Here is a 23,693-nt window from a genome sequence, read left to right as displayed (position 1 = left end):
GCGCCTGGAGGTCCTGCTGCCTCCAGGGCCTGGGCCCTGCCATATCAAATAAACACAGGTTCTGGATGAATATGTTTCCCTCTTTAAAGCAGGTAATTATTTAAAATCATTTTAGCCAAACTTTAGCTGTTTTCAAGGAAATCTTTTCAAATGGAATAACAAACCTCTCTAGCGCCCTCAACAGACACACTGATATGGCTTGGCTGTGTCCCCACCCAAATCTCACCTTGAATTGTTGCTCCCAGAATCCCCACGTATCATGGGAGAGACCCAGTGGGAGGTAACTGAATCATGGAGGTGGTTACCCCTGTGCTGCTGTTCTCGTGATAGTGAGACCTGATGGTTTTATAAGGGGCTTTTCCCCTTTTTTCTTGGCATCTCTCCTTGTTGCCACCATGTGAAGGATGTGTTTGCTTCCCCTTCTGACATGATTGTAAGTTTCCTGAGGCCTCCCCAGCCATGATGAATTGTGAGTCAATTAAGCCTCTTTCCTTTATAAATTACCCAGTCTCAGGTATTTATTTATTAGTCTTTATTAGCAGCATGAAAACAGACTAATACATACACTAAATGTTGGTTAACTCAATTCCAAAACATTTACTGAGCACTAACTATGTGTCAGCCTGGCCCCTGGGCAGGGCTTAGAAAAAATGAATAAGAGATTGTTCCAACTGTCCCAACGCGCATTCTCTCTCTGTCTCATACACACAAACATGCGTATTCCCTCATAGGTAATTACTCACAAGGGAGGCAACGGCAGATGCAAGAAGGCAGCCACAGGTGGCCTGGGAGCCCTCCTGTGGCCCTGCAGCCACGACTCACATTCAAAAGCACATGATACCTCTCTGCTCTCCCACAGGATGTTATGGCTCAGGGGTGCACTGGGCTGTTTATCCCTATACCGGTTATTCTGAAACTTTTTGGTATCAGGGTCTTTTTATACTTTTAAAAATTATTGGGCCAGGCGTGTTGGCTCACGCCTGTAATCTCAACATTTTGGGAGGCTGAGGTGGGCGAATCACTTGAGCTCAGGAATTTGAGATCAGACTGGGCAACATGGCGAAATCCCATCTACAAAAGTATACAAAAAATTAGCTGGGAGTGGTGGCATGTGCCTGTAGTCCCAGCTACTCAGGAGACTGGGGTGGGAGGATTGCTTGATCCTGGAAGGAGGAGGTTGCAGTGAGTCGTGACTGTGCCACTGCATTTCAGCCTGGGTAACAGAGCAAAACCCGTTCTTAAAAAAAATTGTTGAGGACTCCAAATTGCTTTTGTTTTATGTGGGTTGTATCTATCAATATTTATTGCATTAACATTAAAACTGAAAAATCTTTAAAACACAAGAACACAAAGATACTTATCCCACTAGCCTTCAAAGTTACCCCTTCACCACAGGTTGTGCCTGGAAAACTCCACTGTAAGCTTGTAGAGAATGGGAGTGAAAAGGTATATAATGTCTTAGTACTACACAGAAGTTGTCTGGACCTTACAAACCCCCTGAAAACATCTTGGGGACTGCCCCCAGGCAACTCCCTCATCCCTAGCTACACTTTAAAACTTTAAAAACTGCTGCCCCCGCCAATGAACGACTAAGGATTGCAAAACTTTTTGGGATTTTTAAATCTGTTCCTCCCTCCCTTCCTTCCTTCCCTCCTTCCCCACTTCCCTCCCTTCCTCTTTCTCTCCATTCTCCCTCCCTCTTTTTCTTTTTTCGTTTTATTTTTCCCTCTCTCCCTTCTTTTGTTTCTTTCTTTCCTTCTGTCTTTCTTTCTTTTTGCTGTGAGGTTCCAGCAATTTCTTGTTGCTATCAGTAAATGCCTATGGGTGGCAGCTTTCTGGCTTCTAAATGCTCTACTGCTTCTAATTTAAGGTTTGCTATAGTCGTTTCTAAAGTAAGAACAGTTTGGTTCTGCATGAGCGCTCTGCATTTAAAAACCTGAGCTCTCGCACCCAAGCTTTGTAATACCTTTTTTGTTTCCTTCCTGGTCTTTGATGGGATTCTTAACATGGGACCTTGACATCTAAGTGCTCTTCCTTTAACTGAGATTTGATCACCAAAGTTCAAACAGACCAAAGGAGAAGAAAGGGACTGAATGCATCTGAGAGAAGCAGATGGAGAATGAGGGGCTGCCAGTCCTGGTGGGGTTTCTGCGACCTGAACGGATCTGGCAGGCAGCAGGGGCAGAGGGAGGGGAACCATGGGGCAAAGCACAGCTTGCACTGAACCTGCAAGTCTTTCGCTGGAGCTGAGCAGTTACCCTGTGCTGGGCAGTTAATGCACATTATCTCATCTAATCCTCCAGCGCCCTACAAAGGAGGAAATGGAGGCTCAGAGAAGTGAAGTTACTCAGCCAGTAAGCAGTAAAGTCAGGCTTTGAACCCTGGCCTGTCTGACCCCACATCTGAATGCTCCATCAGAAGACTTCAGCCCAGCTCAGTGCAGCAGAGGCTAGGAGGCCAGGCTGGGGCTGGGGGGAGGTGGGCAGATGTGAATACTGGGCTTCCTCTCACAGCCCTCCAGTGGAGTGCTCTGGGCCATGACTTCATGGGGCTCCTGATCTGGGGATACCTTTACCTGTGGGTGGAAACCCTCACCGTGAGGCTGAAATTCCTGCGTGAAGGCCCTCTCCCCACTGGGCCTGTTTGAACTTCAGAACTTCAGCTGTGAAGATCTCATAGAAAAAAAATAGACCACTGAAAGCAAATACCTGAATTAACAGCAGGGATCTCATCCCAGAGAAAACCCGATATACATCACGGATGTAAGAAACCTTTCAGCCAGTGCTGGGCTCTTCCAGAACAATACAGAGCTCACCCTAAGAAGCTAGCTTTCAATCACAGTGAATACAGAAGTCTGATGACAGCTTCATCTTTAATTTTAGAGAATTCAAACCAAAGAGATTTAAAACATTATAGAATTTAAATTGGAGAGGTCGTATGGGTATAAGGCATATGAAAAGTGATACCAACAGGACAGTAACTTCGATTTTTAGTAAGAAAAGACTCCTCCAGCGGGATTGTTGGAAATGCACATTCCCAGACCTCCTATCCAGAAAGTCTAATTTGCTAGGCCTGTCCTGGATCCAGGAACTTGCATTTTTACAAGTACTCCAAGTGATTCTGATGGGGGCAGTCCAAGGTTCAACCTCTGCAAAATACTCCACCAGAAAAAATATGCTACAGAGGACATAAGGAATGTGGGAAAACCTCTCCTATTCCTTAAAAAAATATCATTAGTTATCCTCTTCTGAAATAACTGAGAATCAAGGTGGGAATAGGAGCCCCTGAAGATTACAAATAGCTGGAGCATGGAGTCTTGCTTAGAATAGTGCAGTGGCTAGGGCTCTGGGGTCGGACCCATGTATATTGGGATTCTTGCACTGCCACTTCTGAGCTGTGCAATGATGGGCACATTAGAAATTTTGAGCCCTGGTTTTATGACAGGCAAAATGAGAATAATAGGATCCCAACCGCATAGGGCTGGAAAACTAGGTAAGGTTATGCTTGTGAAGCACTTTGCATGGCACCGTGCTTCGAACAAACATTCACTAAATGATAGCCATATTGCATGTTGTTTTGTCATTGTTGTTATTTTCTAATACTTTCCACAACTATGGAGACTCCACAGTATTGATCAGATAGCATTAGGAACAGATTTGCTATAGTTCTAATAGGCTCCAGGAGGACAGGGTCTGTGTTTCAATCAGTACACAGTAGATGTCCAATGAACATTTACTCAATGAATACAATATTTTGATGGCCTAGTCTAATCCTCTTATATTAAACATGTAGCAAGTGAGTGTCCAAGAGGTTATTTAACTTAGTTATGGTCACACAACCAGTTGGGGGAAAAAGTATTTTGTGTTAAGTTCACACAATACTAACACAAAGCTTGATGCTTAAGATAAGTCATGGAAGAGTGGCTAAAAGCACAGGCTTGGAGAATTTGGGCTCCCCTCCCAGCTCTGTCATTTTCTAGCTGTGGGCCTCTGGGGGAAATTTCTAAACTTTCCTAAGCTTCTGATTCTTCATCTGCAAACAGTGGGGGTGATCACAGTAGCTGCTTCACAAGGTCACGGTGAAGATGAAATGAACTGATGTGTATGGTGCTCAGGCACTCGATGGCTGCTCTCTTCACTCATCTGTGATCGCCCCATGGAGTTTCAGGGGAAGTGGTAGGCACAAAGGAGGATGGTACAGGGACAAGAGGGCATGGTGGGACTCTGCAAGCCTCATCCTGTGAACTATTCATGGCTCTGGCCCTGACACTGAGCTTGGGATGGCTGTGGCACAAGGAGCTGGCGAAGCCCCTTCCCTCAGAGTGCTCACATTCCAAGGACCCCCTCCAAGCAAGGTGAGGAGACAATATCTTCTAGACAGAGGGGTAGTAACGCAACCCAGGAATCCTGGGTCCTTGCTGTCCCCGGTCAGGAAAAACTTTGTTCCCAATTCCTAAGCTGCCCCCATCTCCTGTCTTTGCTCTTGGCAGACTCGGGCATGAGGACAGAACTGTCTCTATGTCTCCAGTTTATTTAGAACCACGAATAAATTCCATCTATCTTGCTTGGTTTAGTTGAGTCTTAGGGAGGTACAGTGAATTCCAATGATGAGAAAAAGATACAACAGGAAGAAATGGACTAATCATCGTTTATAAGTTTTCAATCTTTTAAGTGAGACAGAGGCTCAGAAACCCAAGATGAAGGATAATTATTCTCTGGGTTGCAAAAAAGTTTTTCAAATAAATTTAGAAACCTATTTAAAATATATCTAAGATTAGGCTGTTAAATGCTTATTGTTCCTGGTGAGTGCCCAACTAAGAGTAAGATCACTTTTCTATCTTCTCCTCACTCCTCCCCACATGACTGAAATCAAAATAAGATGTTAGATAGCAGAAATTAAGCTACCAATAAAAAGTACTACCACTTGCTACCTGGTTCACATCCCTGATGCAGCCTGAGTGAAAAGCAAGAGGTATTTATCACAACCAGAAAGGACACTAGCGCTCAGAAGGTCAGATTTATTTAGAGATCGCAAAGATAATGAGTTCATAACAAAAGACAAGTGAGTAATTAAATATCAGCAAGTCACAAGAATAATAAACCCTGTATTGGCTCCTATCAAACTAGGCCCAGTGCTGGGCACTTGGACTCATGATCTCATTCCTGTGTACCTTTCAGACTCTGGAGCGTACAAAAATGCTTGGAAACAGCTTGCAAATTACAAATTCATTAAATGCAAAGCCATAGGAAAATATACAACTTCTCTTTTCCCCACCTCACTATTTGACCAGCCTCTTTACAGAGATCACAAAGATAACTTATCCTTCTTTGTTTTCAAAGTCAGAGTAAATGCAACTAGCACCATTTAAAAATGGAAAAAGACCACTGTGAGACTGTGGTTTTATGAAGGGCCTACAATTTTTCTTTTGATTTACTCAAATTTCCTTTCTTATGCAAAGGAAAATGACCCAATTTCCATCTCATAAAGGCTCCTGTTCTGGAGAAAGAACCAGTGCCTTACTTTGAACATTTCTGATCATGATTTTAGAGTTAACTTTCTGCATACTGTATTAACATATCAGTGGGGTATGACCCACAGTACCAGTGGGGAGGCAAGTCGCCCTGGAAAGAAAAGCAGTATGCTGATCAGATGTGAGCTCAGTGCTTGGGTAGGGTGAAGGAAAGGAAGAGCAGCCTTTTCTGTGACTTTCAAACCCTGCAGGCTTTTCTCTTCTTTCTTTCTTTTTTTTTTTTTTTTTTTTTTTTTTGAGACGGAGTCACGCTCTGTTGTCCGGCTGGAGTGCAGTGGTGCGATCTCGGCTCACTGCAACCTCCGCCTCCTGGGTTCAAGTAATTCTCCTGCCTCAGCCTCCGAGTAGCTGGGACTACAGGTGTGCGCCACCATGCCCAACTAAGTTTTGTATTTTTAGTAGAGATGGGGTTTCACCATGTTGGCCAGGATGGTGTCGGTCTGTTGACCTTATGATCTGCCCACCTCAGCCTCCCAAAGTGTTGGGATTACAGGCGTGAGGCACCCTGTAGGCTTTTCCAGAGACACCTCCTTCCAGGCTGTCCTCACGCTCTGTTCCTCACCTCTCAACTCAGGGACTTTGAAGAGCTGTTCTTTTTGCCTATCAGAACTCCCTTCCGCTGCCAGCCAGTAACATCCTCTTTAGCTCTCTACTCAATCCTGACTTCCTCAGGGATACCTTCCTTGTTCTCTTCACTGCACCTACTCCCCCCATTTTATGCCATGGTAGCATCAAGTATCTCTCCCTGTGGCACTTCACATGGCAAGATTTTGTATTTACTTATGTATTTTTTGATGATGGTCACTTTCCCCAACTTAAGCCTGAGTTCCTTGAGTGCACGAACATTGCCAGCTTTGGCTAGCGCCAAACATAGGGCAAATGTTTAAGTATACATGGAACAATAAATTCTTGGAGCAAACTTTATTTTCTTTTAAGAGTTGATAAAGTCTAACAGCTAGTTAATGTGATTTTAAAACCATGTCTGGCCTTATAGTGGCTCAGTATAGTAAAGAGATGCTTGAAAAAAAGAAAAAAAAAATCAGGCAACAAAAAGTACCCTCAGCATGTAAAAGGAAGCAAAAGACCAATTTTTCACTTGGCTAGGCTCCCAAATGCTCTATTTTGTTCAACTTATATCCCTCACATGAATACGGCTGCCAATTGATTTAGTGATGCACATTTTGTAGTTGGTGGATTTTAATTCTAACATATACATTCAGAAATAATAACAGATATTGAGCAACCTAAACCACCTGAGTTTAATTCCTGTTCCCCAATTTCCAAACTGTGTACCTCTGGGGCACTCCCGTAACTACCTGTGCCTCATGTACACCATCAGTAACGTGAGCATATCTACCTCACTAGCGGGAACAGGCCCCGACACATGTGAATGTGCCTCGAACAGAGTCTGGCACATAGTAAGCTCTCAGTAAATGTTAGCTATCTCCATTACTCTTCCATTACTACTATAAGACGTATTCTGCTTTAAGTGATTTACATGTATTATTTATATAAATTAAGTCTTATTTTTGGGGGACAGAGGCTCTGTTGCCCAGGCTGGAGTGCAGTGGCACCATTTCAGCTCACTGCAACCTCTGCCTCCCGGGTTCAAGCAATTCTCCTGCCTCAGCCTCCCGAGTAGCTTGGACTACAGGCGTGCGCTACCACGCCCGGCTAATTTTTTGTATTTTTAGTAGAGAAGGTGTTTCACCATGTTAGCCAGGATGGTCTCGATCTCCTGACCTTGTCATCCACCCGCCTCGGCCTCCCAAAGTGCTGGGATTACAGGCGTGAGCCACCGCACCCGGCCCATAAATTAAGTCTTACAATAAGGTGGATTACCCCCACTTACACATGTGGAAACTGAGGATGCTAGAATGAGAATACTGGAGGATCTAGTTGTTATGCCTCCCCCAGTTTTCCTTCAGGATGCTTTTTCTGTCTGTGTCCAGCTCTGGGTTTACTCCGCAGAGCGGTCACCAGCTCCTCAGGTGAGGCTGGCAGAACTGCCCTTCACTTCCTGGGTTGAGAAATCTCTCCTTCCCCTGCCCACAGACTCTTCCAAGTTGTTGCAAATCTACCCAGCTGGGGCTATCAGGACATCTCCCTTCCTTCCTCTGAATTTACAAGCACTTCTCTGAGTCCAAGTGAAGGCCAAACAGTGGGCAGAATGTAGAAGGAGACGGCACTGGTTGGACTCGCATTGTTTATCACTAAGACAAACACTTCCTGTTGTCCCAGCTTGGATAGGGAAGCCCACTGTACATGCGGGCTGGAAAAGAATGACAAAGGCGCAGAAAAAAAAAAACCCAGCTGCAAAGCCAATGCCTTCGTCTTAGTACTTTCCAAGAGTTAAATATAGCCCCTGTGTGAGGGACGGCAGAGGCAGTGAGGTCACCTTGGAAGACTTTTGTGTGTGTTAATTACAGCGATTGCAGGAAACTGAATATCCTTTTATGCTTAAGAGAATAGTACAAATTTGACTCCACAGGATAGAAACACAAAAGCATTCATAAGAAGGGAGAAGGCAAAAAATAGTGGGAAGAATTTGGGACTTGGAGGACTTGGTTTGGGCTCTAACTCCTCCCATTTGCCCGTACGTAATTTCGGATGAGTTATTTAACCCCCTCAGAATCATCTTCCTCTTCTGTAAGAAGGGGCTTAGAAAGCCCATGCACAGGTTTGTGTGAGGGGGAAATGAGGAATGGCTGGGAAAAGGCTGGTAAATCGTAGGGATTATTGTTAGAGATGGTAGAGTACCATTCTTTGATGCACTGTTATTTCAGGAAGACAGGGTGGTCATGGAGAGTTTCTGGGAGCCACTCTTCCCAGGAGTCAGGCTAGGGTGACAGGCTCAGGGAAGCCCCACATCCTCAATGGCCTTACTCGCATCAGCTCTGCCCAGGTTCTTGTCCTCCACCAGGAGGGCTGTCACTTGGGGCATTTTGTTTCTCAGCTCTGGGCCTCCAGGGAAGCCACAACTTCTTCTCCCCAAGGCATTTCCAGACCACACAGGAGGGGGTAGAGGAAGGCCACCCGCTTCTGAGGAAACAGCTTTTGGCTGTGGGACTGGGCTCTCCCAGAATTGTTCCTTTGTCTGCGGATTCCTCCCTGTTGAGCTCACAAAGGAAATGGGTCCAGGAGGAAGTGGAAAACTGTGACACACACGCGCACTCCTCACACAAGATGGCAGCTGTTTCCGCATCCAGCGTCCTGCACCGCCTCCTTCACCAATGGCGTGGGGAAGCAGAGTAGTCCCAGGGAGTAATCTGGGATGCCTGATGGTAAAAGCAGGTAGTATTTTCAAGTGCTAAAGTGATGTTCCAGATGTTGTGCTAAGCATTTTGCATGGATTACCTCACTTACTCCTCATAATGACCCTGTGAGGTAGGTTCTGTTTTTGCCTGCGTTTACACATGAGCCAAGTGAGGCTCAGAGAGGCACTGTCATTTGTCTAAAGGCACACAGTTGGCAGGTTAAGATTCAAACCTAGACCTCATTCCAGAGCCTAAGCTTTCAATCGCAGCACTAGCGTACCTTCTGGCCTTCTTTTCATAGGTGTCTCCTACCTGCAAAGCTTGCTGGAACCAGCAGTGAGCTCCTCTGACCATTCCCCAACTGATGTTCATTCACCAGGTCGGATGTCTGGCCTGAGGCCTAGGTGAGGCTGGGGATTTCTGCTTTTGAGATGTCTGAGTTTGGGGACCCATCTCATCAACCTCCCCGGGCTGACAGCAAAGCCTCTGACTAGGGGTATGTGGATGATATAATCAATAATAATAAAGCTATCTAATAATAACAGCCAAGATGTATTGAACACTTCCTATATGATGGGTACTGTGCCTTACACTTTTACTTCTTTTAAAAAATAGGACCTCATGGCCGGGTGAGGTGGCTCACGCCTGTAATCCCAGCACTTTGGGAGGCTGAGGTGGGCGGATCACTTGAGGTCAGGTGTTTGAGACCAGCCTGGCTAACATGTACTAAAAATACAAAAAAAAAAAAAAAACACCAAAAAAACAAAAAACCCTCATGTCTGTAGTCCCAGCTACTCAGGAGGCTGAGGCAGGAGAATCGCTTGAACCCAGGAGGTGGAGGCTGCATGAGCCAAGATTGCACCCCTGCACTCCAGCCTGGGCGACAGTGTGAGATTCCATCTCAAATAAATTAATAAATAAAAATAAATAAAAATAGAACCTCAGGTGGACAAAAATCCTAATCCTTGCTTCATGAGATACTCTCATTATAGGCCCATGCATGCCATATTTTTATTTAGTTATTTATTTATGTAGTTATTTTTGATAATGGAGTAAGCACACACAAACTTACCATTCAAAGCAAAAGCCAGGATCTTGACAGTATCTTACATCTAACTTTATGATCCCGCCCTCCTGCCTACCCTGCCCAATCTCACTATCATCCTGAATGCTGTGTTCACCATGTCCTTGCTTTCCCCTCTATATAGTTTTAGTACAACCAGATGTACTCCTGAAAATATTATTTTAAATTTTTAGTTTAAAAATTTATTAAAAGAATATACAGTGCTATAGGTACTCTTTTGTGACTTTTTCTTTAATATTATGCTGCTAAGATTTATCCATATTGCTGCTTGTCATCGTGTTCATTCATTTTGACTGTTACATGCTATTCCATTGTAGGAATATTCTCTGTGCCTAACACTCAGTGCCTTTACCTCATTTGCTCTTTGCAGCAACCCTATATGGTGGGAACTCTTATCCCAGTTTTACTGACAGGAAACTGAGGCCTAGCAAGGTTAAACTTGCCAGAGGCCATAGGAGCCAGGGTTGGAAACTTTCCACCTCCCACAGTGCGCTGTGTTTTGGTGCTCTGGAGAAAACACAGGCATTGGAGCCAGAATCTCAGGGCTCAAGCCCCAGCTCCACACTTACTGGTTGTGTGACCTTGGGCAAGTCGCTGTGTGTCTCTGACCTCAATTTCCTCAACATCAAAGTGGGGTGATCATAACTGCCCTCCCTACCTCCACAGGCCTGTTGTGAGACTCAAGGCTGATGATGCTGTTGAGAAGCAGGAGCACCCTGTATACTGAAATTTTATAAATCAGTAAATTGTGATTAATATAAATGTGCCATCCTCTTACCTCCCACTTCCAATCAAACAACGGAACTCATTTAGAATTCAGAAGAGACTGAATAGCACCTCATTCAGAAAAACAAAGCATTAGGTGGACAATCGGCTTGCAGAAAACTCAGTGTGATCAAGGAATCAGAAAATCATCAGCAGATGCCACAGGCTACACTAATAGGAGTATGTGGTTGGCTTTGTTCTATTCAATAGAGTTTAAAAATTATTTTTTACTATTTCTGACCTATTTGCAATATCTGAGACCCTACCCTGGTGCTGTTTGTTTGCGGCATTTCCTCTGCATAATCTGTTCTCCAACTGCTACCTCCTGGTAGCTGTGTGACATTGGGCAAGTGACTTCTCTGTGTCTGTTTCCACATCTGCAAAATTTGGATAATAATAATACTTATTCCTCACAGGGCTGTTGTGAGGATCCAGTGAGGTGTTACATAAAGTGCTTAGAGAAGTCCCTGATGCATGCCAAGCTGATGATATGATTATTATCTAAAATCTCCCCCACACCCCAGAAAGTGCTTGCTTATCCTCTGAGAGTTGGTTTAGATGCCACTTCCTCCGGGAGGCTGATCCAGCCTTCCTGGACAGGTGAGATTCCCCTGTTCTATGCGCCAGAGTAGATGACTTGTTCGATGTCCACTGTGAATCCATGAGGACTGAGATGATGCCTGACTTAGTATCTGCCCAGTGTTCAGCACAGTAATGGGTACACAGCAGGTGCACTGGGGAGGGGCTAAGTGACAACCTGGAATTCATAGAAAGGACCACAGACTAGGGAGGCCCCAAGAATCCTGCCTCTGACAAATGTCTCCAAGAACAGAAGGGCTCTTTGGGAGTGGGAGAAGAGAAGGGGTGGAGCAGATGTGCTACCTGGGGAGCTGGGGCCTTGGGGAGCAGACATGGATCAGGAGTGACAGTTCCAAGACCACAATATTAGGTTTGGTGTATAGAAGAACTTTCCAGCAATCTGAACTAAGAGAGGCAGATAGGTGTCCCTTTCAAGAGGGATGGAGCCCAGGTGGGATAGTCCCTCCTCAGGAAGGCTAGGGAGGAGTCAGTACAGTAGGTAGCTGTGGCATTGTGAACCCAGGTGAGATGTATCCAACATCAAACTTGGGATTTGGCTTCCCTCACCCAGGCAGGTTTCATCATTTCACCAAGCCTGTTTTCTCAATGTAAGACAGAGATAATAACAGTGCTTACCTCAAAGGGTTGTGGCAAGAAGAAAGGGAGACAATGTATGAAGACTGTATGCATCATGCCAGGTACATATGAATCATGCTTGTAAGGGTTCATTATGATTACTAATGTTGCTGCGGTTGTCAGTGATGAAAGGAAATCACCCAGGGCCTAGATTAGATATTCTAGGTGGGAGGCTGGAAGCTGAGCTCAGATGGCCACTCTGACTATCTGCCCAGGTAGGAAGTCTTCCCTCTTTTCCTTCCCTCTCACCTGCAGAAACCTTTCAGTGTTAAACCTGGATTTGGTTCTGGGCCAGGCCCCCATGAACCTGCCCCACAGGAATCCACCCCTGAATAGGCTCTAGGAGACCCCGGGGTGATTCCTGCCTCCATCATTGGGGTTGAGGATCCAAGAAAACGTTGATCAAAAGTCATGGAAATGGATGTTTTGAGTTTTGAAATGCCCCAAATATCTCTCTGCTTCTGCATTAGACTAACAATTGTGTACAATTAACCCTAACTCAAAGTGGAGAGTTTAAAGTTTTATGTATCTCTGCTTTTAAACATCAAGGTGAGTTGGTCTTACAGTCTGCTGCTCACCTGAGATATTTGCCCTACCTCCTAACTGGCCACCTCTTTCCAATCTCTCCCTTTCCATTCGAATGTGAGCTCACTGCTGGCTTTAATAATTTCCCCAAATTGCAACACATCATAATCTCTTCCTGCTCACAACTCATCCACTGCTCCCCAGGGCCCAGAACACCAGTTTTCCTTTGTGACATAGATGATGAAAGATCCTCACGTGCCCCATGCACTCCCTGTGGCTTATCTCCAACGTCTCCGTAATCCCATCCCTTCCCAGGATGGGCAGGCAAGGAGCGAGGGTGAAAGTGTCAGAGATAACTTGGATTACTTTCTAACTTATTAAGAAAGGCAGTCATTTCTAAACCTGAGTTTTAGGCATTTGCTTTCTTTTTTCAAAAAGTTGACTGCTTCTTATGTGCTGAGTGCTTTCACTATATGAATCCAATGAGCCCTCATCGTAGATAGGAGACTGTTATCTCCATTTTCAGTTGAAGAGACAAACTCAGGGGGTTAAACAAAAGGAGTAGAGCCAGGATTCAAACCCCAGGCAACTTGACACCACGGCCAGAGCCCTCAGTCGTCATACTCTCCTTTCTCTATTATTAGTTACAGATTGCAAGCCGCACAACCTGTAAGGACTGGGACACACCCAGTAAGCGACTGGGAGAATACATCCCTACTCTTTGGAAGGACATGGAGGCCCCATGTCACCTCCATCTGCTCTTTTGGGCTCTCGGCATGCTGCCCCGCTTTGCTTTCTGAGCATGCTTCTGGGCTCTTCTTTCCACGATTTTCTCCATCTGGAATGCCATCTCTACAGGGCTCCTGGCTAGGAAGTGTCCCTTGAAACTTCTGGTCCTTTATATATTCTCTTTGATGGACACTGACTAGATATGACCTCACGTTCCAGGCATCGGTGACCAAGTTTCACTTTCTCTGCCACACTGGGAGATTCAGGGACCCTGAGCTTCCTCTGTGGAACCTCTGAGAGCTGCACCTGGTTGCTGGCTGGAGGTGAGGAAAGGCCATCAGGCTCTCTGGCTTCCTGGCACACTCCCAGGAGATCAGTTTTCTTTTTGGTCCAAGTGGAGCTAAAAAAAAATCCCCCTTGGTTTTGCATCAGCAGGATCTGCTTTCAGCAAACCCTTCAACAAGAACGGGCAGGAAGAGTAAATATTTATTCTACAAATGAATAAATCTGGTTCCATCTTCAAAAGAAAACCTTAGTATAAATTATCATAATTTCTCCATTCTAAGATGCCACTGATTTGAAGATATTTTCATATTGAACAACAGCTTTTTGAAAAAAAAGAGAACAAAATGAATAAATTAAGATGTCAATTGTAAGGTATGTTCTGAGTTTTTTTTTAAAAAAATCTTTGTATCAATGAAATAAAAATACATATGGTTTAATTTAATTTTGATTTTCTTCTTTTGGCTTCGGTGCTGTCAGAAAAAAAAATTCTCCAAAACTTTGACTAGGCCACGGTGAAACATGGGCAGATATCAACAATGTGTCCCAGCCAAGTCCCACCACTGAACCTAGGTGGGCTCCAGGTCAGCAAGGACACTTCCTGGTCACCCGTGCACTAATGGCAGCCCTGAGGCCCTGCAAAGCCAATGGACAGGCTTTCTCCCCAGCAGAAATATGTCCGTGTTCTGCTGATACCTGGTAACCACGTCAATGACATGTGGAAAGCCAAACGGGAACCTGTCAGGTGACTGTAGGCAAGCCACTACTCCTTGTACCTGTTTCCCCAGTTGTAGAATCAATGAGATAGGATTAGGTAAGTGGTTTCCTAATGCTCTTCTGATGAAGCCTATGGGATCTGCATAGCTTCCTTAGGTGCTGCCCCGGTGGTAAGAGGGATGGAATGGGCTGTGCTCAGTGTTCTCATTCCCACTTCACCCATAGCAGCTCTGTTGCTTAAGATTTTGTTTGCAAAAGGTTTCTGAGGCCAAAAGTAGTTTGAAAAACACTGGTAAATGGCATTCTGGGGTCTTCCCAACACTACTCTTGAATACACACTCTCGTATGGTTTAAGGACAGTGCTTCATTCCTTGGTTTGGACACACCCTCAGAATCCTTCTCACCACAGTGCTCCAGGGAGACACTCCCAATCTCTCTACAGCCTAATCCAGGGGTTGGCCAACCTTTTCGGTAAAGGACAAGATACTACATATTTTAGGCTTTGTTGGCCTCTGTTTCAACTACCCAACTCTGTCCTTATAGTGAGAAAGTAGCCCTAGACAATATATAATGAACAGGTGTGGCTGTGTTCCAAGAAAACTTTCTTTACAAAGACAGGTAGCAGGCCAGATTTTGCCCTTGGATTGAGGTCTGCTGGTCCCTGCACTCTAATACTTCAACCTTAATGGTGAAGGAACTGAAGCCCAAGGGGGGAATTCAAGGAACTTGGTTAGGATCCTTATCTCCCGGCAGTGAATTGCTTCCACCACACTACACTACTCATTTAGCTGTGACTCTTGCCCTAAGTTGAACTGCAGGCATCTGGGGACTACATGGTTGAGGGAATGGCGCCTGGAAAAGGCACGTATTCCATTTCTCTCTCTCAGGAGATCAGTTTTCCTCTAGGTTCTTAGAGGGCTATAAAAAGCCCCCAAGCTTGCCTCCTGTGAGGCGTGCTGTCCATCAATTCCCCAGAACTGGTATGACTGCAATGTGGTGCCACATTCTGCCCCTGCCGCAGCCTGACAGCTGTGCCAGGGAGAAGAATCACGCCAGGCCAGCTCTGCACCTTCACTCCCTACTTGGGGCAAGGCTGGGATTCCCCGAATGGAATTGTAGATGGAGGATAGACCCCGGCCGGGCCCTCCCGGCTCAGCCTCCTTTGTTAATTCCGGGATAATGAGAGCTTCATGAATGCTGAATACCAGAACTCCAAGGGCCACAGCAGGAAGAGTGTGAAGGATAAGAAATAAAACCTCATGCAGGCTGCCCGGCTATACCCCCTCATCGATAAAGGATGTTCCCTAGAATTATTCAGACCTCCTTTTCCTCGTCTTCTCGGCACCCTCCTTGTCCCCACTTAGAAATCTTTACCTAGTCAGCCCATCTTAACTAGCAAGTCCCTCGTATATCTAACCTGGAGATAACCCTCCAACATTCATGGAGAAGCAGCAGAGAGCAATGGTAAAGAACTCAGGTATGGAGGTGAGTTGGGCTGCATAAATAGGCCTTTCAAAGCCTCAGTTTCTTCATGTATAAAATGGGAATATGACAGTATCTACTGAGTCATGGTGGGCTTTCAGCAATAAGTACACTTGACTGTAACTATTAAGCATTTGCTATTGTTAGACACTGGGAATATGGCACAAAAGATACTCCTAGGCCTCAGGACTCATACACACATAAAACAGATATTTCAACAAGTGTGGTGAAAACTTCCAAAAGCCCAGTCTGAGGAGGGTGGTGGTAACCCAAAGTCAGGAGAGACCTAGAGGTGGATGTGGCAGGGAGATGACGCTGAGCTGCATCTTTCAGGAAGGGGGAAGAGCAGAGTCATCTGTTTGAACCTTAGTTATTGCATCTGTCCAATGGGGAGAATGTCTCTGCTATCTACTTCATAGGGCCATCACCAGGGTCAAGAGATGCGACAGAAAAGAAACTCAGGGCTGGAAGGGTCTCCAGAAAAAAGAATTTAGTGGGTCAATTCTCTGTCTGATGAGTCCCCCATTACACAGGTTCCTTCTTGCCCATAGCAACCCCCCCACCGTGAATGACTGCTAAGTGACAGCGTGTATGATCACATGGGCAGGGGTTGCCCAGCCTCTGCACAAAGCACTCTGTGGATGATGTGCAATGTCCCTGAAGCTAAGCTGAAATGAAGATAACTGGTGAATGTCAAAGTGCTTCTAAAAGTTAAAAAAAGGTATGTTCTCATAACACGGAAGTGAGCGGCTGAGCCAGGGCTTGGATGTGGGTGTTCTGCTTCCATGTCCAGATCCATTTCCATTCTGGCACTCTGTGCTGGGATATTTATTGGAGGCTGGAGTTCACATCACCTGGGAGTCCATGGTGGAGGGCAGGGGAGGGAAGGGGAGGGAGAAGCCAAGATAAACACAATGCATCTCCGAAGGTCCATTTTGTACAAAGATATTTTGAGAGGGTGATAGAAGGGGTTAGATATATTATGGATGCTAACAAAAAATTTGCATGGCTTTTTAAAGATAAAATGAGACATTTCATGCTTTCAGAGGTTGCTTTGGGTAACAGACCCAGACCCTAGAGTCTCATTCAGTTGAAAAGTGTGAAAGACAGAACTAGAAGCAGGTATTTGAGCAAGGTCAAGGGTCAAGATAAAAGCAGTGCATGAAAACAGTAATTATCACCCTTGTGTGAACATCAGAATCACCTGGGGGATGTGCCAGGAAAAAAAAAAAAAGCAGATTCCCAAACCTCTGACCCACTGATCAAATCTTTGTGGGTGTATTTTCAGTAGGCTCCACAGGGGGTGATTCTGAGCCCAGCTGGATTTGAGAACCACTGCTTTAGATAAATAGGGAGTGGTCCTTAAGGCAGGCTGGAGAGGGCAAGAGCAGAAACAGGAAGCTCCTATCCGAGGCAACAGGATACAGAAGCCATCCAAGATATATTTCCCAATAATAGTCAACAGGATTTGGGATTTGACTGTATAAAGGATGAAGGCAAAGGAAATGATGGATAATGATGAAGTCTACATTTCTGTCCCTAAAGTGAGAATCATTGACATGGAGAATCCTGGAGTTAAAAGTGGCCATATCCAACTCCTCCTCCGTGAATTATGTACTCTCACTTTCATTTATTCATCATCTCAACAGACATTTATTGAGCACCTACTATGCATCAAGCATTACACTAGGTCCTGGGGGAAGGGCAGAGACCAAGGAGAGGAGAGCCCTGCCCCAACAGAGCTCATATGAACAGCTAATTCAAGCCCACAGTGAACTGTGATTGAGAAGTGCAGGGTGCTCTGAACATCTACAACAGGCATGTATCTTGGGAGATTGGGAAACATTGCCTTGAGGAAGTCATATTTCAGCAGTGAGCTAAGGAAGAGCAAGGGTGAACCAGGTGAAGGCACAAAATATTCAAAGCTGCAAGGAGCAGGGCCAGTGTGAGAAGAGCCCAGGGCAAGAGGTAGGTGGGGGTCCAAAGCGAGCTGGCAAAGTGTGCAGAGGGCAGACAGGGCAGACCTGAGGCACCACAAGGACAGTAGCTGATGTTTTATAAACAATGAGAAACCACTGAAGGGTTTAAGCATAATCAGACCAGTAGCTATAAATAACTGTCCTTAATTGCATCAGGCGGTCTCCCCAAATTCCATCCTTAAGCATAGATAATTCATAAGTCCTATTAAAAGCTATAATGTACTGTACATTTAAAAAAAGAATGCTTTAGGTTGAAACATACACTCCTAGAAGTCCTGTTCTCTACAGTGTGCAAAAGGGTCAAGCTGCGAAAGCTTCTTGAATTTTACGTGAGAGTAGTCCTTAAGCTACATACTAAGCCATTCCGTGGCTTCCCTGATCTGTGGTCACTCAAACTTTGACTCTTTGCATCCCTAGGCAACTTGTATTCTACCATTGAACAGTTCTTTTCATTTGTATGCTTCTCTTAGATTGAGCCCAAACTGGCCTCTGTTTAATCTCCTTCTGTAGAAACTTTCTATTACCTCTTCTACAGGACAACGAATTTGAGAACTGATTCCATGTCCCCACTTCAACTTTAGTCTTGCTCACAAACACCCCCATTTCCTTCAATAACTTCTCATGTGGTTGAGTTGCTGGCATAAAAAGAGAAACAGGAAGGGTCATCTGATTTGGTGGTGAATAAGATGAGCTCAAAATTGGGTCACCCAAAGGCGGAGTTGACCTCGGAATGGAAATGTACTATAGGCAGGAGGTCATGAGGAACTGGAGGCCAAATCGTGGCTGGTGATGGACATCTGAGAGTTACTCTCATAGAGGGGTTTAGTTCTTCACAGGAGTGAGTGTAGCAAGAGGGCTGAGGTGGTCAGGAGATCAGGGGAGAGAGGGGCAAGCACCACAAAAGACAGAGCAAGAAGATAGAGACAGAGCAAGAGGGAAGATAGAGCAAGTGGGAGAAGATGGGAAATAACAATTAGTAAGCACCTACTATGGGCCAGGCACTGGGAGCTAGGCAAATATTATTGCATTTCAGTCTCCCAACTATGGGTGTCATTCTTCTTGCTTTACAAAGACTGAGGAAACAACTTGGTTGGGTAACTTGTCTTAGTGTGGGAGAGGCCTAGAGGCTATGAGCACCTATAACATTGGGATGGGGCAGGGAGAAGGCAGAAAAGGCTTCCTGGAGGGATGAGGCAGTGGTTATTTAACCTAGACTTATTCGACCCCCAAATCCATGATTTTCACATCTCTGCAAATTAGGAGAATACATCAGAAAGGAGTAGAGGCTCAATCAACAGAGCTACAGGCCAGGAGATGGGATTTGATGGAGGTGAAAGGCTAGACTTTGGTCCAATGGAAGTGGAAGCCATTTGTGACCCGTCAGAGAGGGTTCTCAGTGGAGGGTGTGATTGGAAGCAAGGCTGCAGGAGGTGAAAGGAGTGTGCAAGAGGAGTTGCTGACCATTTGAGAAGTTTGGCCAGGAAAGGAAGGAGGAAAATGCTGGGGTTTGGTGGGGGTGTTGCACACAGATGGGTTCACTTTTTTGTTTGGTTCTGAGGTTTTCTTGAAGATTAAGAAGGGTATGAGAAGCTGATGGTATCTAAAACCAGGATTGTTTTTCTGGACCAAAGATGAGAATGGAGTAACGATATGTTCTTGGCAGAGGGTGGGAGGGAGGAACTTACTTGGCAGAATGCTTACTCATGTGAAAACGGGAGTTTGAAACTGATATTTGAGGGAGAGGCTGGCAAAACTTTGACAAAAATGGAGAAGCCAAACAGCTTCTGTGGGAGACAAAGAAATGGAAGCAGTGCCCAGTGACCAGGAGAAGCCTCCATAGGGAACAGAGTTAAGTCATACGGCCCCGTATGACTCCTTACACCCATTGCAGAGTGTGGTTAAATTCTGAGTGCTAGACTACATGTATTACTCTTGCTATGACATTCCAAATGAAGACACTGAAGGGTCAGAAAAAGTGACTGCCCAAGGTCATACAAAAAGTTGCAGTCAAAACTCAAACTCAAATTTGTCCATTCTCTGAACCACTCAGCTCCACTGGGTCCCAACACTGACAAAGATGACCCATGACATATGTTTGGATCAAAAAGATGATTCGAATATGGATAAGGGTTCCTTTCAAAAGACCATTACCATAGAAGGAGTAGGAAATGAACTTGGATGTCAGGGAAGAGGTATGTCTGCATGGAAATTCACAGCCTTGGGGACAGAAGTTGGGTCTCAGGTCACTGCAGGGGGAGGTCATCATATGGATTAGCTACAGGCTGCCTGGTCAATGGACACTGTAGGGAAGACATGGCCTTCCTAATTTGGATCTCAAAAGCTGGTTCAACGGAGGCAAGACACAGGCAGAATGGATTCTCAGATCATCTGTTGAGCAATGAAAATCTCATTTCATGAAAAGAAGAGCATCAGATTATTTCTTGAATTGCCCAGTAGACAACATGATCTCCCCAAGAACACAGAACGCAGCAAAAGAAATTCCTGTCTTGGGTTCAATTCAACTGCAGTAGTTGAAAAAGAACCAGTTGTGAAGGGGAAAGGAAAGGAACCTTGAGGGAAATAAATCACTCCACATGAGCCTGGGAGATCAGACATAATGTTGGACATTAAGAAGGCAAATTTTAAAAAATCAGAAAAAATTCAGACCATAGCCTTAAAGAGATGGTGATCCAAGAAGAATGAAAAGTTCACAAAAGCAAAACTGTGATGACATAGCCACAGTCAGTAGGCTTGAATAGAGAGACTATATAACAGAAAATGAACATTTCAGTCACTCAGCAATGTCATTTGGACAGTGGTCCAGTTATTGAAGGTCATAAGTGGATTTCCAAGAGATAAGCACCATAAGGGATCACTGTGATACAAACAAGATTATAACCTGTTCCCTGTCTTTGAGTTGTACACAAAGCTGTCTAATTCAGTATTTAAAACAGAGCAGGGACTCAAAAAGCAACATCAGAGTTGGAGTAGCTTGTGGAAGAAGCAAGTGAAGTTCTGTAAAGCAGTCTTATTAATGGTGAGTGTGGGAAAAAAAAATTGTAATTACTAAAATAGCCAGCATTTATTGAGTGGATCCCCTATGCTAGGTATTATTTGTAGGTTATTTATAACAAATCCAAGAAGTAGGTGCTATCAGTATCATAATTTATCCTCATCTGCGGGTGGTGCCATTTGCTTTAGATGTATGATGTGGTAGACAGGGACAGAGAGCTAATTAACTTGTTCTGTAGAAGGCGGTGTCCATAGACATTGGCTTTACCTGATGGTTGATTCTCTTGTGTGGTATTTGTGAATCAGAAAACCCTCTGGAAGGATTGCCATTATGATATAAGTGGTTTCTATGTTTGTTACTGTGCTTTATGAATCCTTTTCTCTCCCCATGGGAAAACACATACCCTGTTGGAAGAGAAATTCTACTTTCGGCGTTTGTTTCCATTCTCAAGTCACTTGACTTTGATGCTGAGCTTTTTATGCTCAGCAAATTCACAGCAATTGCTGTGAAATATCTGAATAGTGCAGCTTAAGTGCCATGGAGATGTCTGGGGCCTGAAACAGGAAGATTTGGCATCTAGGTTCTGCTCTAAGGCTTGGGCAGGTCACCTGCCACCAAGGAGGCAGTCAGCAGCAAGCTTAAGATCAGGACTTTGATATGGAGACAGCTGGGTTTGAACCACAGCTCTGTGTCTCATATGGAGAATGAATGAGCAAATTAATGTCAGTGACCTAAGCTTGTTGTTATGGACTGAATTTTGTCCCTCCCAAATGCATATGTTGAAGCCCTAACCCCAAGTGTGACTGTATTTGGAGACAGGGTCTTTATGGAGGTAATTAAGGTTAAATGAGGTTGCAAGGGTGGAGCTCTAATCCAATAGGACTGGTGTCCTTAGAAGAAGAAGAGACGGCCGGGCATGGTGGCTCACGCCTGTAATCCCAGCACTTTGGGAGGCTGAGGCGGGTGGATCACGAGGTCAGGAGATGGAGACCATCCTGGCTAACGTGGTGAAACCTCATCTCTACTAAAAATACAAAAAAATTAGCTGGGCATGGTGGTGCACGCCTGTAGTCCCAGCTACTCGGGAGGCTGAGGCAGGAGAATGGCATGAACCAAGGAGGCGGAGCTTGCAGTGAGCCGAGATCCCACCACTGCACTCCAGCCTGGGTGACAGAGTGAGACTCTGTCTCAAAAAAAATTAAAAAATGAAGAAAGAGGAAAGAAGGAAGAAAGAAGAAGAAGAAGAGGAAGAGGAAGAAGAAGAAGAAGAAACACCAGAGATCTTTCTCTGGATGCACAGAGAAGAGGCCACGAAGGGACATGGCAAAAAGTGTCCCTACAAGCCAGGAAGAGAGGTCCCACCCGACACTAACCCTGACTGCACCTTGATCTTAGACTTCCAGCATCTGGAACTGTGAGAAAATTAATTTCTGTTGTTGCAGCCACCCAGTCTGTGTATTCTGTTATTGCAGCCCTTGCTGGCTAATACCCTGGCTGAGCCTGCTTTCCCCTGAGGTATGATTCATGATAGTCCCAGCTCATAGGCCCCATCCTATGGGTTGTTCTGAGAGGAGCCACATAAGAAGCTGAGGACAGTGCCTGGCACATGGCAACAGTTTGATGATTTCAGTTATTATCGTGAATACCAATGTGTGGTTTTCTTCCCTAGTCAGCTGGGCATGACAGTCCCATCTCTCACATGGTAGGCAGGAGGCTGAAATGAGACCTGTGCTTCTTAAGCCTTCCCTGATGACAGAAGAGAGTGCACACCTGCCTGGGAACAGGGGTACAAGAAAGGTCTGCTGGAATACTTTTTTTTTTTTTTTTTTGAGACAGAATCTTGCTGTGTCGCCCAGGCTGGAGTGCAATGGCTCGATCTCGGCTCACTGCAACCTCCACCTCCCAGGTTCAAGCGATGCCTCCTCTCCTGTCGCAGCCTCTCGAGTAGCTGGGATTACAGGCGCCCGCCACCACACCCAGCTCATTTTTGTATTTTTAGTAGAGATGTGGTTTCACCATGTTGGGCAGGCTGGTCTCGAACTCCTGACCTCAAGTGATCCACCCACCTTGGCCTCCCAAAGTGTTGGGGTTATGGGCGTGAGCCACTGTGCCCAGCCTGGAATACTTGAAGTCTCATGTTTTATCTTAAAAATGCATGCAGATTTTTCATTCTGATTCATAAACGGTTGTGTTTGCAATTATTTATCAGAGTAGAGAACTGAGGAGCCAGACAGTTAAACTGATCTTGTGTGCCCAGCCACAAGACCACTTTACTTGAGATGGCCTTTGTAAGTCACCAAGAACTGATCTGAGTATACTTAGTACTATTCTCAAACTGATTACTTGTACAGCAATGTTGATTTTTAAAAAGAGAATACTACTAAGTATTGCTGTACAAGTAATCAATTCGAGGTGCACTATAAAGTGTGTTGTATTTTACTAATTAAACCACTGTTGGAGCTCCTCACTGTGCACTATGTGCCAGGTGCAGTGTCAGCAGATTGATCACAATAGATCCACTCCTTGCCTTCCTGAAGCTTACTTCTGGGTAGGGAGGCCGACACTAAAGAGTCAGATAACTATGTCTATAAAGTTGTGACAAGAGGTGTAAAGAAAGATAGCAGGCTAGAAAAGCCTGCAGGGAGAGAGCAGGTCAGAGCCCTCCTAGGCTCTCAGCACCAAGGGATTCCTGGGAAGTCTGACTTCCTAGGAAGAGTGCTCTGGAGGCAGCCTTCTGACGTGGAGGTTGTTGGTTACCAAGCATTTAAAGTGAAGTGAACTATTGTCACTCTGTCTTAGGATGACACAGTGCACTTTCCACAGGCCTGGGTAGGCCTAGGTATGGATTTTTGTACTGGAGATCAGACAGGTTGGTATTTAAAAACTGGTGGGGAGTGGGGGTGGTGGAGAGGTTGGGGAGGTGGCGGGCGACTAGGAGTGTGAAGGGGAGGGGGGATGGTGGTATTTGCTTTAGACGCATTATGCAGGAGGTGGGAACAGCAGGACTGAGGGGTGTGAGAGGTGCCTCTTCTCTCTGTTTTTCCTCCCTGATGTACACTCTTCACACTTGCCTAGAAATCAGTTAACAGGTGAGAACTGCTTTACAAATCTAGGC

The 23,693-nt window shown here is 45.1% G+C and overlaps 1 protein-coding gene across 5 annotated transcripts in view, besides 1 other annotated feature; it reads right to left on the bottom strand.

Moving 5' to 3' along the window:
- The window catches only part of AFAP1L1 (actin filament associated protein 1 like 1), a 71,779-nt gene that overhangs the window by 46,346 nt on the left and 1,740 nt on the right, over positions 1 to 23,693 (bottom strand). The window lies entirely within an intron of this gene.
- Positions 7,615 to 8,116: an enhancer, noted in NCBI's record as "H3K27ac hESC enhancer chr5:148668739-148669240 (GRCh37/hg19 assembly coordinates)". NCBI's record gives its function as "activates a minimal SCP1, AML or CMV promoter by ChIP-STARR-seq in primed H9 embryonic stem cells {active_cell/tissue: H9 hESC(primed)}" and the evidence as "EXISTENCE:reporter gene assay evidence [ECO:0000049][PMID:30033119]".

Source organism: Homo sapiens, chromosome 5, assembly GCF_000001405.40.
Source record: "Homo sapiens chromosome 5, GRCh38.p14 Primary Assembly".
Lineage (NCBI taxonomy): Eukaryota > Metazoa > Chordata > Mammalia > Primates > Hominidae > Homo > Homo sapiens.
Note: the sequence above shows the minus strand (reverse complement) of the source record. Positions and strands in the feature narration are given on the sequence as shown.